Raw genomic sequence first — 19,186 nt, 5'->3', positions numbered from 1 at the left:
CTGGCTTCAAATTATATTATAGAGCTATAGTAACCAAAACAGCATGGTACTGGCATAAAAGCAGACACATAGACCAATGGAACAGAATAGAGAACCCAGAAACAAATCCATACATCTATAGTGAACTTATTTTTGGCAATGGTGCCAAGAACATGCACTGGGGAAAAGACAGTCTCTTCGATAAACAGTGCTGGGAAAATTGGATATCCATGTGCAGAAGAATGAAACTAGACTCCTACCTCTCATCATGTACAAAAATCAGATCAAAATGGATTAAAGGCTTAAACCTAAGACCTCAAGCTATGAAACTAGAAAAAGAAAACTTTGGGGAAACTCTCCAGGACATAGGAGTGGGCAAAGATTTATTGAGTAATACCCCATAAGCACAGGCAACCAAATCAAAAACTGATAAATGGGATTATATCAAGTTAAAAAGCTTCTGCAAAGCAAAGGAAACAATCAACAAAGTGAAGAGACAACCCACAGAGTGGGAGAAAATATTTGCAAAATACCCATCTGACAAGGGATTAATAACCAGAATATATAAGGAGCTCACACAACTCTATACAAAAAAAATGAATAGTCTAATTTAAAAATGGGCAAAAGATCTGAATAGACTTTTCTCAAAAGAAGACCTATAAGTGGCAAACAGGTATATGACAAAGCGCTCAACATCATTGATCATCAGATAAATACAAAACAAAACCACAGTGAAATATCTCACCCCAGTTAAAATGGCTTTTATTCAAAAGACAGGCAATAACAAATGCTGGTGAGAGTATGGAGAAAAGGGAACCCTTGTACACTGTTGGTGGGAATGTAAATTAGTACAACCACTATGGAGAACAGTGTCCAAAGTGTCCATCAACAGCTGAATGGACGAAGAAAATGTGGTACATATACACAATGGTGTATTCACCCATAAAAAAGAATGAGATTCAGTCACTTGCAACGACATGGATGGAACTGGAGATCATTATTTTAAGTGAAATAAGCCAGGCACAGAGGTAAACTTATGTTCTCACTTACTTATGGGAGTTAAAAATTAAAACAATTGAACTCATGGAGATAGAAGAAGGATAATTACCTGGGAAGGGTAGTGGGGGTTAGGTGAGGGGAGTGGGGATGGTTAATGGGTACAAAAAATAGAGAGAATGAATAAGAAAAAGTATTTGATAGCAAAACAGAGTGACTATAGTCAATAATAACTGTAAATTTAAAAATAACTACAATAGTATAATTGGATTGTAACATGAAGGATAAGTGCTTGAGGCGATGGATATCCCATTTACCCTGATGTGATTATTATCCATTGCCTGTGTGTATCAAAATGTCATGTGCCCCATAAATATATATACCTACTATGTACCCACAAAAATTAAAAATTAATATTTCAATCAACACTGTGTACTCTAGATTCAACTACTATTCCCATTTTGCTGCATTTGGCTTTTTTCTGTCTGCACACACACACACTTCTGTGGTGGTGGTTGGATGATTGAAGAGTTAATTGCAGACCTCAGCAAAATATTTCAGAATGCATCTCCTAAGAATAAGGACATTCTCCTACAAAACCAACACCATTATCACACCTAATAAAATTAACAATCATATAACAGACCTAATAGCTCTTATATATTAAAATTTCTTCAGTTTTTCCCCAATATGTCTTTTTTAGCTGTTTTTGTTTTGTCTAATTCAGGATCCAACTAAGATTCACACATTGCATTTGAATGTCTGTTTAGATTCTAGATTAATACCCTTAGTCTGTTTTCTATTACTATAACAGACTATCTGAGAATGAGTAATTTATGAAAACACATTATTTGTTATAGTTCTGCAGGCTGGAAAGTTGAAGGGACTGGCACTGGCATCTGGTGAGGGCCTTCCTGCTGTGTCACAACATGGTGGAAGGCATCACATAGAGAACAAGAGCGTATAGCTCAGGTCTCTCTTCCTCTTCATATAAAGCCACCAGTCCCATCATGGGGATCCCAACCTGATAACCTTATCTAATCCCAATTACCCCTCAAACACCCTACCTCCAAATGCAATCAACAGATGAATTTGGGAATTAGGTTTCCAACACATGAAATTTGGGGGACACATTCGAAGCATAACATCCCCGTACCTTTTTTTCCCACATGACATTGACTTTTTCGAGTCCAACAAAGTTGTTTTGTAGAATGACCTATATTCTGGATTTGTCTGGCTATTTCCTTATGATATTGGTAACTTTCATCCATCCACTTAATTTAATGTATTTGGTTAAATCAATATACTTGTATTAGGCTGTTTTTGCATTGCTATAAGGAAATGCCTGAGGCTGAGTAATTTATAAAGAAAAGATGTTTAACTAGCTCACAGATCTGCAGGCTATAAAAGGATGCCACTGGCATCTGCTTTTCTTCTTGGGAGGCCTCAGGGAGCTTTTTACTCATGGCAGAGGTGAAGCAGAAACAGGGACATCTGAAGAGCAAGAAGCAGGGGAAGGGGTGCCACATAGTTTTAAACAACTAGATCTCCTGAGAACTCACTGTCGCAAAGACAGCACCAAGTTGGCTGGGTGTGGTAGCTCACACCTGTAATCCCAGCACTTTGAGAGGCCGAGGCGGGCGGATCATTACTGAGGTCAGGTGTTCGAGACCAGCCTGACCAACATGGAGAAACCCCATCTCTACTAAAAATACAAAATTAGCCGGGTGTGGTGGCTCATGCCTGTAATCCCAGCTACTCAGGAGGCTGAGGCAGGAGAACCGCTTGAACCCGGGAGGCGGAAGTTGTGGTGAGCCGAGATTATGCCATTGCATTCCAGCCTGGGCAACAAGAGCAAAACTCCATCTCAAAAAAAAAAAAAAAAAAAAAAAGCACCAAGCCATGCAGGATTTGCCTCCATGACCCAAGCACCTCCCACCAGGCTCCACCTTTAACACTGGGGATTACATTTCAACATGAGATTTGTGGGGACAAATATCCAAACTACATCAGTCCTATAAAGTAAAATTAAGTTTAAAACTAATGAAATTCAGATTAAACACACCTGGCAAGACTATCTTTTAGGTGATGTGATATTCAAATTGCATCACATGAAGAGGTTCCACTATTAGTAATACTAAGTTTTGAGAACTGCAGAACTCTTGGTACATGACAACTGCATACAAACCTCTGCACTAAGAGACTTGACCAAACTCTAGCACGGAACCTAGCAGCATGAGGCTGTGTCCCTAGGATGACCCCCAGCCCCCTCGTAAAATGCCTGCCTGAGAAAGCTCAACGTTGCCAGGAAAATGTACTATTTGTTCTAGCCAACACACATTTGACAATAGGCCCATGACCTCCATTTCTTAGAGGATTTGTTATAAAGGGTTTGCAATTGTTATTGTGTATCTCTTGCAACTCAGAAGCATCTCTCTCAAGGACCTGAAAGTTAGTCCTTTGAAATACAATCACCAGGAAGGATAGGCCCTCTATCTCCCCGTCTCTGGGAATCCTATCTTAGATAACTAGCAGCTAGTAGACTCAGCTGGCCTAAGCACATCACATTGACCAACCCTTTGTACTATTTCACTTCTCTGACTCTGCTGAGTCCCTGCACTCTCCGCTCTCTCATCCTCCCTTTAAAACACCCAAATCACTGCTGTAAAAATCAGAAAGGAGCTACGCTCTTTCTGCTACTGTCAGATCACTAAATAAAATCTGTTTTCACCACTTTAACTAATGGTCCAGCTGTGTTTATCTTTGACAGTATGGTCACTAATATAATGATACTAGTACATGTTCTCCTTAATAATTAGTATGAAATCTGTAGGGTAATACTTTGGCATCATATAAACATTGGTTCCTCATTGGGCTAGGCAGCTTCTGAGAGGACCCCAGTGATGCCCACTGCTGGCATTCATCTGCTGCTGTAATCTCCCCTTGAATGTGGACCAGATCTATCAACTCTTCTAACAAGTAGAATACAACAGAAGTGGTGGGATTGTCACTTCCAATATTAGGTTATAAAAATACTGTTGTTTCTGGCTCGGCCTGTGTTTCTCCTTCTCACACTTGTGCTGGTGGAAGCAAGATTGATGTACCTCTATGGAGCGGTCTACATAGTGTAGCAAATCTGAGGCCCTTAGTCCAAAAGCCCTCAGAGAACTGAGGCCTGCCAAGAAGCACAAGTGAACTTGGAAGCAAATCACTCCGCTCCAGTCATGTTTTGCAGCGACTTTGGCCCCGGCCAACAGTTTAACTATAATTTCATGGGGAGAGACCTTGAGCCAGCAGTAATTCCCTAAGCTGCTCCACGATAACCTGGACCCTTGGAAACTATGAGTTGATTAATGTTTGTTGTTTCCAGTTGCTAAATAGTTAGGCCACAATACATAACTGTTGCACTTAATGAACTTTTATATCATGGATTTAACATCAATTAATGATTCTTGCTTTGCCTGAGTCAGCTGTTGTATTGGGAGTTACAAAATGGTGATGTTCTTGGCTGGGTGTGGTGGCTCATGCCAATAATCCCAACACTTTGGGAGGCCAAGGTGGGCGAATCACCTGAGATCAGGAGTTTGAGGCCAGTCTGGGCAACATAGTGAGACTCCATCTCCACAAAAAAATTTAAAAACCAGCTGGGTGTGGTGGTGTGTCCCAGCTACTTGAGAGGCTGAGGTGGGAAGACCACTTGAGCCCAGAAGGTTGAGGCTGCAGTGAGCTATGATGGCACCACTGCACTCCAGCTTGAGTGACAAAGCGAGACTCTATAAAAAAAAAAAAAAGGGATGGGCACGGTGGCTCATGCCTGTAATCCGAACACTTTGGGAGGCTGAGGCAGGTGGATCACGAGGTCAGGAGTTCAAGACCAGCCTGGCCAACATGATGAAACCCCATCTCTACTAAAAATACAAAAATTAGCCAGATGTGGTGGCACACGCCTGTAATCCTAGCTACTCAGGAGGCTGAGGCAGGAGACTCGCTCAAACCCGGGAGGCGGAGGTTGCAGTGAGCTGAGATCATGCCATTGCAGCACTCCAGTCTGGGTGACAGAGCGAGACTTTGTCTCAAAAAAACAAAAAAAGAAAGAAGCAGAAAGAGAAAGAGATCTGGGGCCTGGCTGGGGCCTGTGATTCTGCATTTCTAACAAGTGGAAACTGCTGACCCACAAACAACACTTGGAGTAGCAAGAATCCAGGACATCTATTACTCAATTAGTAAGTATTTTAATTGTTCTACACATGATTTTCATACAGTGAAATTTAATTAAACTCGTAATCCTGCTTCACTAAGATAACCTATTAGTCTCCCAAAGTATGGAAATCAACTTGACATCTTTTAACTGTTAATAGAAAAATGTTAGGAAATGAAGATAGAAGCCAAAACTATGTCAGGATTCTTGTTAAAAATCTGAAAAGCCAAAATTTATTGTCTCATATGCATAACATCTTTAGAATATCAAGGAATAACAAACTTTATATCAAAGTATACTTTAGATATATTTTAAATTGAATATGAAATTGAGTCAAGCAACTTAGGATCAACAAACTACTACTGACAGTCAAAAAATAAAAGAAATTATTTTTTAAAGTGTGACTCATTTTGTGATGCACAATGGCAATTAGGGGCACTTGGGCTGGAGTTGGGGAAGTGGAGCCTCTGGGATGCTGATAATGTTCTATTTCTGACCTGAGTGGAGGTTACACAGGTGTATTTATTTTGTGATAATTCATTGCATTTACAATTTTTATTTGTCCCATTTTCTGTATATGTATGTATGCTATACTTCACCTTTTTTTTTTTTTTCCTGAGACAGGGTCTTGCTTTGTTGCCCAGGCTGAAGTGCAGTGGCATGATCCCAACTCACTGCAACCTCCATCTCTCAGGCTCAAGCAATCCTCCCACCTCAGCCTCCTGAGTAGCTGAGACTAGAGGCCTGTGCCACCATGTCCAGATAGTGTATGCTATACTTCAATACAAGTTTTTAAATAATAAAATTAAAAGTTAAGAGGCTGAGGTGGGATAATCACTTGAGTTCAGGAATTTGAGACCAGCCTGGGGAACATAATAAGACCCTATCTCTTAAAAAAGAAAAAAAAAAGATAGGCTGGGTGCAGTGGCTTACTCCCATAATCCCAGCACTTTGGGAGGCTGAGGTGGGCAGATCACGAGGTCAGGAGATGGAGACCATCCTGGCTAACACGGTGAAACGCTGTCTCTACTAAAAATACAAAAAAAAAAGAGAAAAAACTAGCTGGGCGTGGCGACAGGCACCTGTGGTCCCAGCTACTTGGGAGGCTGAGGCAGGAGAATGGCGTGAACCCGGGAGGCGGAGCTTGCACTGCACTACAGCCTGGGTGACAGAGCGAGACTCTGTCTCAAAAAAACAAACAAACAAACAAAAATGGTGTATAACAGGTCTGAAACAAGTTAGCTGCTATGAAATAAATGTGGAACGGAAGTCACGCCCCAAGGCAGCCCCCTCACTAGGTACCCTCCAACTGAGGTAGGGGAGGGTGGACCCATAAAAACTCTCCTGGCAGCCAATGACTAAAGGCAGTGGAGTTGTATTAGTCCATTTTGTGTTGCACATACCAGAATACCTGTAACTGGGTAACTTATAAAGAAAAGGAATTTGGCCAGGCGCGGTGGCTCACGCCTGTAATCCCAGTACTTTGGGAGGCCGAGACGGGCAGATCACTTGAGGCCAGGAGTTCGAGACCAGCCTGGTCAATATTGCCACATCTCTACTAAAAATACAAAAAATTAGCCGGGTGTGGTGGTGCACCCCTGTAATCCCAGCTACTCAGGAGGCTGAGACAGGACAATCACTTGAACCCTCAAGGTGGAGGTTGCAGTGAGCCAAGATCACACCACTACACTCCAGCCTGGGCGACAGAGCAAGGCTGTCTCAAAACAACAACAACAAGAAAAGGAATTTATTTCTTACCGTTCTGTAAGCTGAGAAATCAAGGTCAAGGGGTCATGTTTGGTGAGGGCCTTCTTGCTAGTGGGTAATTTGCAAAGTCCCGAGGCAGTACAAGGTATCACATGAGAGGGAGAGTTGAGCCTGCTAGCTCAGGTCTCTCCTCTTATAAAGCCACCAGTTCCTTTCCCCTGATAACTCATTAATCCATTAACCCATTATTCCATTAATCCATTAACCTGATAACCCATTAATCCATGGGTGGATTAATCTATTCATGAGGGCAGAGCCCTGTGATTCAATCACCCACTAAAGGACCCACCTCTCAATACTGCCACATTGGGGATTATGTTTCAACATCAGTTTTGGAGGGGACAATCCATAGCAGAAATCATTTTGAATACAGAAATAAAGGCGTTAACAGTTTGTAGACTCTACTTAAAAATCAAAGTAAAAACAATACTGAGGGGCCCAGGCTGTACAGCTGGCAGTGCCTGACAGCCTACCTGACGCTGAATTGGATGGGATACAGCATAGGGAGCAGTAGCTGGGTGAGGTAGGAGAAGGGAGTCGGGGTTATCACTTACAAATGGTACTGAAGCCTAAACTCTGAAGTGAGTAGGTGCTGTGCTTTTATGGGCCTCTTTATGAAGCAAATTATGTAAAAGTTGCCATCGAGGACAAACAAGTGAAATACTTTACACATTACGGTGGATTGGATGAAAATTGGAATGAATGGGCTCCAAAAAGTAGAGTACTCAGGTACATGAACACCAATCTGTAGAAACCGGGAGAACTTCGAGAAGCAAATCAGGAACAAAATTCATGGGGGAAGAGGAGAGAGGCTGCCCCAGCAAAGAAGACATCTGGTCTGCAAGGGAAAAATGTTGAAATCATGTGGAAATGGAAATGGAGCAGTACCAATGAGATACCTCAGCCTCCTCAGAAGAGCCCCAGTAGATGCCGCTGTTGAAAACATTCATGAAGAGAGTTGAAGTTAAAGATTTCTGAAGAATTAAAACCATGTTTTGTTGATGAGTGAGACATAATGACCAAACAAAAACAGCTTTATCTTCGTGCCAGGAAAAATGTGGATTCTATTGTAGAGAATTATGTAAATTACAAGAAAACTTGAGGGACCACAGATAATAAGGAGTATGTTTTTAATATGGTTGTGGCAAAAATGGAAAATATTTGAATATAATGTTAGGCACTCAGATACTTTACAAATCTGAAAGACTCCAGCATGCTGAAATCCTTGAAGATTACCCAGAGGCACTCAAGTTCCAGGGGTATGGAAGACCACATCTGTTGATATAATTTGTATGAATTGGACCAATGTTGACCCAAACACCTCTAGAGGAGAAGAACCTTGCTTTATGACTGAACTATCTTCATAATGACTTCCTGGTAAAGAATTCTGCAATTTTATTTAAAGCCAACAATTATGAAGTGGCTGTTCCTGAGAGGATAATTACAGTACGCAAAATGCACAGATGTGAAGAGTACAGTTTATTGAGTTTAGCAATTGCATTCACCCATGTAACCACCAGCCCGGTCTAGAAGAAAACATTTGCATCAGCCCTAGACATTTCCTCATGTTCCTTTCTAGTCAGTCTAGCAATTTGCCACCTCCCCACTACCCCTTACACAAGAGAGGAAGCCTCTATTATGATTTTTATTCATCAAAGCTTATTTTCAGTGTTCTGGAACTTCACACAAATGGTCATACAGTGTCTACTCTTGTGTATCTGGCTTCTTTTGCTCAACATAAAATTTTTGAGAACCATTCACATTATTATATATCAGAGGTTGTTTCTTTCTTACTTCTGAGTACTTTTACACTGTAGGAATATGCTGATGTGGTTTGGCTGTGTCCTCACCCAAATCTCATCTTGAATTGTAGCTCCCATAATTCCCACGTGTTATAGGAGGTACCCGGTGGGAGATAATTGAATCATGGGGCAGTTTCCTCCATACTATTCTTGTGGTAGTGAAAAAGTTTCACGAGATCTGATGGTTTTATAAGGGGTTTTCCCTTTTTGCTTGGCCCAATATTTCTTCTCATTCTCTCTTGCCGGCTGCCACGTAAGATATGCCTTTCAACTTCTGCCATGATTGTGAGGCCTCCCTAGCCACATTTAACTGCAGGTCCATTAAACCTCTTTTTCTCTATAAATTATCCAGTCTTGGGTATGTCTTTATCAGCCGCATGAAAACGAACTAATACATATACTACAATTTTTTTCATTCTCCTGTTGATGTATATTTGGATTGTTTCTACTTCTGGATACTATGGATAAAGCTACTGTTACGCAGCATAATGCTTAGTGACCTAAGTGAATTTCTACTCTACCTTAACTCTGCTTATGCCTGAGATCAGAAGTTCCCCATTGTGACCAAACTGGCAGAGACTGGTGGACAAAATATCAGCTCACTTGACCTCTGAAGAACTTCTAACTTCATTATGATCTAATCTCTATGTTAAATGACACTCCTGCCAGCTGCATGACAGTTGACAATCACCATGACAATGATCAGAAGAAACCATAAAAGGACAAAAAGTAATGTGGCACTCTGGTTTCCGAGTTCTTCACACATGCCAAGAAAACACACGAATATTCCTCCGTTTGCTTTTTCTTTTTTGAGAAGGAGTCTTGCTCTGTTGCCCAGGCTGGAGTCCAGTGGTGTGATCTGGGCTCACTGCAACCTCTGCCTCCCAGATTCAAGTGATTCTCCTGCCTCAGCCTCCTGAGTAGCTGGGATTACAGGTGTCCGTCACCACATCCAGCTAATTTTTGTATTTTAGTAGAGACGGGGTTTCACCATGTTCCCCAGGCTGATCTGGAACTCCTGGGCTCAAGTGATCTGCCCGCCTTGGCCTCCCAAAGTGCTGGAATTACAGGTGTGAGCCACTGTGCCCAGCCCCACCCCTTGCTTTTAATACCCATCCCCTTCATTAAAGATGCCCTATATCTATGACTTCCCGGCTCTCAGAAGCTGAGAAATTGATTTGTGAGCCATGCTCCTGCTTCTCAAATCCATGGCCATGGAATAAAACCTGCACTGCTTGATGCTCACTTTCAGTTTCGCATCTTGGCTTCATGACATAGAACAGGGAAAAATCTCATCTTCACAGGACCAGCTTTGTCATTAACACTATTATGAAGATACTTATACAAGTGTTTTTGTGGATATATGTTTTCATTTCCCTGAGGCAACTGCCTGGGAGTGAAATTACACGGCGTTTAACATTAAAAGAAACTACAAAAGAATTTTCTAATGTGGTTATACCAATTTATATTCCTATTATTAGCATATGAGAGTTCCAACGGCTCCATATCTCCACTAATATATAGTATCATTGATGTTTTTAAGTTAAGGCATTCTAGTGGGTATTCAGTGTTTTCTTATTGTGAATTTAATGTGCATTGGCCACCGGGTATACATGTTACCAATATTTTTTCCCAGTCTGTGGTTTATCTTTTGTTGTTTTCACTGCCTTTCCATAGGCAGCAGCTTGTAATTTTGTTGAAATTCACTTTTGAAATTCACTTTGTCTTTTTTTTATGATCTGTGTTTTTGGTGTCCCAAGAAAACTTTGCCAACCGCAAAGCTATAGTCTTCTATGTTTTCTTTTCTTTTCTTTTTTTTTTTTTTCTGAGACGGAGTCTCGCTCTGTCGCCCAGGCTGGAGTGCAGTGGCGCAATCTTGGCTCACTGCAAGTTACGCCTCCTGGATTCATGCCATTCTCCTGCCTCAGTCTCCTGAGTAGCTGGGCCTACAGGTGTCTGCCACCATGCCCAGCTAATTTTTTGTATTTTTAGTAGAGACAGGGTTTCACCGTGTTAGCCAGGATGGTCTCAATCTCCTGACCTCATGATCCGCCTGCCTCAGCCTCCCAAAGTGCTGGGATTACAGGTGTGAGCCACTGCACCCGGCCCTATGTTTTCTTTTTGAAGCTTTATAGTTTCCACTTTTCCATTTAGTATTAGGAGAAATTTTGAATTAATTTTTTGCTTATGGTGTAAGGTAGGGGCAAGGGCAACTTTCTGTCTTACATTCTTGATCCAGTTGTTCCAATAACATTTGTTGAAAAGAATTTTCTTTCTTCATTGAATTGCATTGGTATCATGCTGTATTTCTAAAATTTTAAATTTAATTCCTCAGTTGCACTAGCCACATTTCACGTACCCAAGAGCTACATGTGGCTTCTGGCTACTGTATCAGCCAGCACAAATATAAAATATTCCCAAGTTTTATGGGACAGCACATAGCTCTAGATCTTAGGGAATAGTGCCTAATAGATATCTTCAATTGTGTGACAGGTAACCTAAACCAAATAACACAGTAAGAGCAGATATAAGGAAGGTAAAAATCAGTCACTGCCTATATGAGGTACCTAGAGTAGTCAAAAGTCATAGAGACAAAGAGTAGAATGGCAGTTGCCAGAAGTGGGGGCTAGAGAGTTATTGTTTAAATGGGTACAGAGCTTCAGTTTTGTGATAGTGGCAAAACCGTGTGAATATATTTAATGCTAAAGAACTATACACTGAAAATGTTTAAATGGTAAATTTAGTGTTATGTATATTTTACCAATATTTTAAGAAGTTTTTTAAAATGGCCATTCCTGCGCTGGGCATGTGGCTCATGCCTGTAATTGCAGCAACTCAGAGGCTCAGGCAGGAAGAGTGCTTGACACCAAGATTTCCAGACCAGGCTGGCAACACAGTGAGACCCTGTCTATAATTTTTTTTTAATTAACTGGGTGTGGTGGTATGCATCTATAGCTCTAGTTACTTGGGAGGCTGAGGGCAAAGTATTGCTTGAGCACTGGAGTTTGAGGCAGCAGTGAGCTATTATGGTGCCACTGCACTCCAACCTGGGTGACAGGGCAAGACCCCATCTCAAAAAAAAAAAAAAAAAAGAAAAAAAAAAGGCTTTTTTCCCCAGCTGGTATTCACTGCAAGTCAGGAAACAATCATTGTTACTGATAATGACTGACTTGATTCTCTCTGGTGTATCTGAGGGATATCTAACATCTCTTTTTATTTACAGAGGAGTTATTAGAGCCCAGAGGCTGACTTAATTTAATGTGTCTACCCTAGAGTATTTCCAGTGGACTTCAGCTGATAAGTTGAAGTTATCTTCAGCTGATAAGAGAAAAACAATTTGAAAGTTATTCTCTTGTAATGTGTTATCCATACATGCATGTAACACTGATGATTTTCTTTATTAGGTTATGGTAACATAACAAACTAGCAGCAGGAGCAGTCATGGTTTTGTAATAAAAGTTATCTGAAAAAGTCTGTTACTGGTGGAGGGTGTCCAGGTTCTTGGCGTTTTGGACAAAAAATTGGACAAAACACATAAACAAAGCAAGGAAACAATGAAACAACAAAAGCAGAGATTTACTGAAAATGAAAGTACACTCCACAGTGGGGAGCGGGCCTGAGCATAGGGGCTCAAGGGCCCTGTTACAGAATTTCTGAAGGTTTAAATACCCTCTAGAGGATTCCACTGGTTACTTGGTGTACACCCTATGTAAATGAAGAGAATGAAGTAAAGTTACAAACTCATTTACTCAGCATACACCCTATGGAGAGGATCTTTCCTGTTATAGCTAAAGTGTGAATCAGCCTTATGTTCCCTGCCTCCAGACCCTATTTTCCTGCCTCAAATCTCTAATACTTGATTTTGATGATTTAACTGTTGATCCCAATGCAAATATAAAAGACTTTGTAAAGCATAGACTATACTATATATTAATTCAAGGAATGTCAGGGCATGTACTGATGTTGAATTCTGAGAATCATGTGCTTTTGTACAGAACAAAGTCTGTTTGTTGAAATATTTTGAGTTAAAATACTCCCTAAAACTCCTTAATAAAGGGAATTACATAATCTGTTAATTGATTTGTGGAACGGCAGTGAAAGAGGCTGTATTAGACGACTTGAAAACACTCATATTTGGAGCTTAACGAAAATACTCCTGCTCTCCAGAGATGAAATGTTAGTGAGAGCAGCAAATAATTTATTTTTATATGCTGGATTTGCGTATTTGAGACCATCTATTAATACTGTTCTTTAGGACCTCAACCTAGTCGTCTAAGACATCCTTATTAAACGAGACCAATAGATATCATTTAATATTGAAAATATTGTTAATGCCCTTCAAAATCTTTCGAAGGAATAAACATTAAAAACTAGAAATTCTTTGTAAAATTTTGCGGTTTAAAATAATACTCGGTTTCAAATTAGTGGGTGCCTCATTTATCATAAATTATAAAAGAGAATCTAACAGTTATTGGCTACATTCTAGGCACGGGGTAACGCTTTACTATTCTTCTAACCAAAAACATACATGTATCTAAGTATCCCATGTAAGGTATCATTGAACCACACAAAACCCTATGAAATACTGGCAGGGGGCGGTGGCTCACGCCTGTAATCCCAGCACATTGAGAGGCCGAGGCAGGAGGATAATTTGAGCCCTCAGGAGTTCAAGACCAGCCTGGGCAACAGTCTCTTCACCATCAAATCCAGGAGAATTAATTTCTACTGTTAGAGCAGTCAACTAAAGGACAGCTCGCGATATTACACAAACTACTACTCCCAACATGCAAAGCGGTTTCTTTCCCTCTGTCCCCGCCCGGCCGTCCGAGAGCCCCAGCAGGCCTCGGGGCGCGAAAGGCAACCTGGGAGCAGTAGTTCTCCCGGGCGCCTAGCGGGATCGCCAGCGCGGCAGTGGGGGCTTCCGCGGCTGCAAGCCAGCGGGTCCTGTGAGGGCGAGCGGAGGCGGAGAAAGGGCGCGGGAGTGAGAGAGGGTGAGTCAGCCACTGTCTATGCAATAAAGGGAGGCCTCACCGCGGGATAGGGCTGAATTCAGAAGTGCGGCCCGTGCCGCAGTCTGTTCCAGGACGCGGCTTGTCTTAGCGTCAGCGAGGGAAGGTTGAGGAGGAGCCAGAGCCTGGTCCTGCAGCCTTTCTCGCCGTCAGCGCCCGTCGCCATCTCCACCATGCAGTCCCGGGAAGACGTCCCGCGCTCTCGCCGCCTCGCCAGTCCCCGTGGTGGGAGGCGGCCCAAGAGGATTTCCAAGCCCTCGGTTTCGGCCTTTTTCACGGGTCCAGAGGAGTTAAAGGACACGGCCCATTCTGCAGCCCTGCTGGCACAGCTCAAGTCCTTCTACGACGCGCGGCTGCTGTGTGATGTGACCATCGAGGTGGTGACGCCTGGCAGCGGGCCTGGCACGGGTCGCCTCTTTTCCTGCAATCGCAACGTGCTAGCAGCTGCGTGTCCCTACTTCAAGAGCATGTTCACAGGTGGCATGTACGAGAGCCAGCAGGCCAGCGTGACCATGCACGATGTGGACGCCGAGTCCTTCGAGGTGTTGGTCGACTACTGCTACACGGGTCGTGTGTCTCTCAGTGAGGCCAATGTGCAGCGCCTGTACGCGGCCTCCGACATGCTACAGCTGGAATATGTGCGGGAAGCCTGTGCCTCCTTCTTAGCCCGACGTCTTGACCTGACCAACTGCACCGCCATCCTCAAGTTTGCAGACGCCTTCGACCATCACAAGCTTCGATCTCAGGCCCAGTCCTACATAGCTCACAACTTCAAGCAGCTCAGCCGAATGGGTTCAATTCGGGAGGAGACTCTAGCAGATCTAACCCTGGCCCAGCTGCTGGCTGTCCTACGCCTGGATAGTCTGGACATAGAGAGTGAGCGGACTGTATGCCATGTAGCTGTGCAGTGGCTGGAGGCTGCTGCCAAAGAGCGGGGTCCCAGTGCTGCAGAAGTCTTCAAGTGCGTGCGCTGGATGCACTTCACTGAAGAAGATCAGGACTACTTAGAAGGGCTGCTGACCAAGCCCATCGTGAAGAAGTACTGCCTGGACGTTATTGAAGGGGCCCTGCAGATGCGCTATGGTGACCTGTTGTACAAGTCTCTGGTGCCAGTGCCAAACAGCAGCAGCAGCAGTAGCAGCAGCAACTCTCTTGTATCTGCAGCAGAAAATCCACCCCAGAGACTGGGTATGTGTGCCAAGGAGATGGTGATCTTCTTTGGACATCCTAGAGATCCCTTTCTCTGCTATGACCCTTACTCGGGGGACATTTACACAATGCCATCCCCTTTGACCAGCTTTGCTCACACTAAGACTGTCACCTCCTCAGCTGTCTGTGTGTCCCCAGACCATGACATCTATCTAGCTGCTCAGCCCAGGAAAGACCTCTGGGTGTATAAACCAGCTCAGAATAGTTGGCAGCAACTTGCAGATCGCTTGCTGTGTCGTGAGGGCATGGATGTGGCATATCTCAATGGCTACATCTACATTTTGGGGGGACGAGACCCTATTACTGGAGTTAAGTTGAAGGAAGTGGAATGCTACAGTGTTCAGAGAAACCAGTGGGCATTGGTGGCTCCTGTCCCTCATTCCTTCTATTCCTTTGAACTCATAGTGGTTCAGAACTATCTTTATGCTGTCAACAGTAAGCGCATGCTTTGCTATGATCCTAGCCACAATATGTGGCTGAACTGTGCTTCTCTTAAACGTAGTGACTTTCAGGAAGCATGTGTCTTCAATGATGAAATCTATTGTATCTGTGACATCCCAGTCATGAAGGTCTACAACCCAGCTAGGGGAGAATGGAGGCGGATTAGTAATATTCCTTTGGATTCAGAGACCCACAACTACCAGATTGTCAATCATGACCAAAAGTTGCTTCTCATCACTTCTACAACCCCACAATGGAAAAAGAACCGAGTGACAGTGTATGAGTATGATACTAGGGAAGATCAGTGGATTAATATAGGTACCATGTTAGGCCTTTTGCAGTTTGACTCTGGCTTTATTTGCCTTTGTGCTCGTGTTTATCCTTCCTGCCTTGAACCTGGTCAGAGTTTTATTACTGAGGAAGATGATGCACGGAGTGAGTCTAGTACTGAATGGGACTTAGATGGATTCAGTGAGCTGGACTCTGAGTCAGGAAGTTCAAGTTCTTTTTCAGATGATGAAGTCTGGGTGCAAGTAGCACCTCAGCGAAATGCACAGGATCAGCAGGGTTCTTTGTAAATAGTATTTTGAGACACTAAGATGTTTCTACTGCTACGGAATGTATTTTAAACACATATCGTTTCTTTTTCTTGGAAAAAAAGTTGATTAGGACCACAGATTTGGTTTAGAAAGGGTAATATTTTGAAATACTACAAGGTTTAGACAGTCCATGAAATCGACCTGTTTAATAATTTACCATCCTGAAAGTCCAGAATTAAAATATGGAAGCAAGAACTATATAATTGATTAGGATGCTTGGTAGGTTTTTTTCATTGTTCAAATATTCATTGCACAGTGGATTGTTTTGATTAGTTAGTATGCTTTTTTTTTAATTAATTCAGTCTTCTGTTAATTTTTAAGTTTTGGTTAGTGCCACAAGGAATTTAACTTTTTGATTTGTATAATAGAAAACTGAACTAGGAATTGTTAGCGGGGTTTTGAAGGATGTGTACTTTCCTTCAAAATAAAGTGGTAGATTTTCAAAATTTTACACTAGTCAGTTCTTTATATTCTAAGTTAAATGTAGTTTGTAAAATTATTTTGGTTTTCTTCTACAAAGGAAAAAATTGGATTTATATATATAAGGTTACTGCATAATGATTTCATTTTGATAATGTGCAGAATGGCCTCATAAGCTCACAGAAAGTAAAAAAAAAAAAAAAAAAAAAGAAAAAATCAGGATTCCACTGTTTTAAAAGAAATCTCAGTTTTTATTTTGGAATATAAAATGTGTATTTGGTATATGTGACCAATTTTCTATCCCAAAAAACACCCATTCTTAGTAATGTCATGAATTAAACACCCTTCTAAACCAAAAAAAAAAAAAAAAACGGTAACTTGCTTTTTATGTTTGTGTTTTTAATTTATGCCCAATACATGCTTTACTGACTCAGAGGAACAATTCCTGGACATATAATTGGGTAATGCAAATTTTTATCCACTGGTCATGATTTGTCTTAAAATGTTTACTTGCCTCCCTAAAATATTTTGGCTGTGTAGGTTTGGTGTTTGTCCTAGAGGATTCTTCAACAGAAAGTGATTTATTCTTTACTGTTTTGTGAGGTAATATGGTTTAGAACATATGTATAAGCTAAAAACAGTATTTTACTCAGATCAGTAGTTATCGTGTCTATCAGCTATAAAAAAAATCAACTGCCAGCCAAGAACTTTAAAACTTTAAGCTGTGTATTATAGAACCGTTTTGTGTAGCATTGGAATATTGTCCATTTTGTAAGTCATTGTGAATGTTCTTAATTATCAGCTTGAAGGTATTTTTGTATTAAAAGTTGACATTGAAGAACCTAAGTGGATGATGGGATTTGGGGCCAGTAGTGAAAGTATGTTTCCTCTAAAATATTTCCCTAAACAGTGGTATACATGGTTATTTTATTATGAGATTTGTATATGTTCTGTGTTTCTCTGTGAACAATGTTTCAGTCTCTCTGTCACCATATGTAAGGGGAAGTCCACAAATATAGACTACATTGCACAAAACTAAAATTGTTAATTACAAGAAAATATAGGTGCTTACCTTTTGAAGGTTTATTAATACATATGGTTGTCACAATACGTATATATGATAAATGGTGTACATATACAGATGTTTATGGTGTATAAATTTTTCTATACCCAATTAGAATTATCTTCCTGATTCTTTATTCAATAACATGCTAATTCCTCTTCTATGTTCTATAGTGACAGAATGCTAACTTTTCTTATACCCTGGCAGAGGACAGAGGAGTCTGGTCTAGGATGGGGAACTGAATTTTTGAACGAAAAGGAAAGAGAAAGGATGAAAAAACAAACAAACAAAAAAACACACGATAATGTTTCTTAGTCATTTTGATTGGCCATTTGAACAGTCTACAAGTTTAACGTTATTTCCAGTGAAGTAGGATGGCTGACCTAGCAATACATGTTTCTTCAAAAGGGTAAACATGCTTTAGTGACCTAAAGCTAAATTTTGTACATTTGACATCAGGGATGTTATAAGTACTGCACTTAATACAAAGCTATTTCTCAATTGTGTTATTTTTGAGACAAATTTTTCTTCACCATTAACTTCTTGTTGGTAGCTTTTTGTTTTGTAAAAATTGAGAGATGGCAATGCTTATCTCAACCAGATTATCCATCTGCAGAATTAAGGTATGCAACTGGTAAATAAAAGACAAATGCTCCAGTTTGTCTTTCTCAACCTTTGAGTTCTTAACCTTTGAGTTAAAACCTAGTCTAAATAGTGGGAATGTCTTGGTTTACAGTAAGGTTTTCTTGGGAAGGATCTTGGTTTTGTGATCTATTTGTGAATTAAGGAGTAGATGTTAACCATTATTTTATAGATAAGTGATTTGTACATGGTTAGTTATAAATAAAACTGGTACTAGAACCCAGGTTTCCTGACTTTCTAATTCAATGGTTCTGCTAAATGTACAAAATTCTTGCTGTGCAGTGAACTAGCAGTGTTGAAATATCTTCATGACAAGAACCCTTTTCTAAGTTTTCCAATTAATCAGCACATCGTTTAGCAAATGCTTTCTATAATGTCATTTGTAGGACTGCCATTGGTAAGATTTAGTTTTATTTCATGTTTTTAAATTCAACAGTAAGTAATACTGGTGTTTTCAAAAAGGTAAAATAGAAGACTAATTTAGCAAATAACTTGTTTAAATTTAGTTTTAGGATTAAGTTATAATAGCCCCTCATATCTCCTCTAGTTGAGCAGTGTTGTTCTGTTTTGGTGCCTGGATCTTAATAGAGAATATGATGAAAACTTTTGACCCATTCTTCAGGAAAATTCATATGTTCATAATTTCATAATTTTAAGGGTATAATGACATTTCTGAAGTTCATCCACACACCCAGGGTAAAAACTCTTGTGACAAGGTCTCAAGAACATATCTACAAAAAGAAATTTGCATTTTTCACAAGACACATAGCTCAAATGTTTGTAGGGTGAAAGAGTAATTCCCAAAATAGGGCGAAAGAAATAATATACGTCCAGGCGTGGTGGCTCACGCCTGTAATCCCAGCACTTTGGGAGGCCAAGGTGGGCAGATCACGAGGTCAAGAGATCAAGACCATCCTGGCCAACATGGTGAAACCCCGTCTCTACTAAAAATACAAAAATTAGCAGGGCATGGTGGCGTGCGCCCATAGTCCCAGCTACTCGGGAGGCTAAGGCAGGAGAATCGCTTGAACCCGGGAGGCAGAGGTTGCAGTGAGCCGAGA

The 19,186-nt window shown here is 41.2% G+C and overlaps 1 protein-coding gene, 1 long non-coding RNA gene and 1 pseudogene across 2 annotated transcripts in view, besides 5 other annotated features; 2 read left to right on the top strand and 1 right to left on the bottom strand.

The window, feature by feature from the left end:
- Window positions 1-19,186, bottom strand: part of KBTBD6-DT (KBTBD6 divergent transcript) — a 103,759-nt gene that overhangs the window by 28,505 nt on the left and 56,068 nt on the right. The gene's annotated exons all lie outside the window — the stretch shown is intronic.
- MORF4L1P4 (mortality factor 4 like 1 pseudogene 4) lies at window positions 7,506-8,374 on the top strand (annotated as a pseudogene).
- Window positions 13,443-13,532: an enhancer, noted in NCBI's record as "active region_7628". NCBI's record gives its function as "activates an Ori minimal core promoter by ATAC-STARR-seq in GM12878 lymphoblastoid cells {active_cell/tissue: GM12878}" and the evidence as "EXISTENCE:reporter gene assay evidence [ECO:0000049][PMID:35858748]".
- Window positions 13,443-14,163: a biological region, named in NCBI's record as "H3K27ac-H3K4me1 hESC enhancer GRCh37_chr13:41768155-41768861".
- Window positions 13,457-14,163: an enhancer, noted in NCBI's record as "H3K27ac-H3K4me1 hESC enhancer chr13:41768155-41768861 (GRCh37/hg19 assembly coordinates)". NCBI's record gives its function as "activates a minimal SCP1, AML or CMV promoter by ChIP-STARR-seq in primed H9 embryonic stem cells {active_cell/tissue: H9 hESC(primed)}" and the evidence as "EXISTENCE:reporter gene assay evidence [ECO:0000049][PMID:30033119]".
- KBTBD7 (kelch repeat and BTB domain containing 7) lies at window positions 13,613-18,348 on the top strand. Its single transcript, NM_032138.7, has one exon. It carries the CDS (start codon window positions 13,925-13,927, stop codon window positions 15,977-15,979), a length of 2,055 nt encoding a protein of 684 aa, NP_115514.2. The 5' UTR covers window positions 13,613-13,924; the 3' UTR covers window positions 15,980-18,348.
- Window positions 13,843-14,112: an enhancer, noted in NCBI's record as "active region_7627". NCBI's record gives its function as "activates an Ori minimal core promoter by ATAC-STARR-seq in GM12878 lymphoblastoid cells {active_cell/tissue: GM12878}" and the evidence as "EXISTENCE:reporter gene assay evidence [ECO:0000049][PMID:35858748]".
- Window positions 14,164-14,871: an enhancer, noted in NCBI's record as "H3K27ac-H3K4me1 hESC enhancer chr13:41767447-41768154 (GRCh37/hg19 assembly coordinates)". NCBI's record gives its function as "activates a minimal SCP1, AML or CMV promoter by ChIP-STARR-seq in primed H9 embryonic stem cells {active_cell/tissue: H9 hESC(primed)}" and the evidence as "EXISTENCE:reporter gene assay evidence [ECO:0000049][PMID:30033119]".

Source organism: Homo sapiens, chromosome 13 (genome assembly GCF_000001405.40).
Source record: "Homo sapiens chromosome 13, GRCh38.p14 Primary Assembly".
NCBI classification, from domain to species: domain Eukaryota; kingdom Metazoa; phylum Chordata; class Mammalia; order Primates; family Hominidae; genus Homo; species Homo sapiens.
Note: the sequence above shows the minus strand (reverse complement) of the source record. Positions and strands in the feature narration are given on the sequence as shown.

Excerpts from the sequence above, each read along its gene's own strand:
- KBTBD7 (NM_032138.7), top strand. The coding sequence starts at position 13,925 with ATGCAGTCCCGGGAAGACGTCCCGCGCTCTCGCCGCCTCGCCAGTCCC.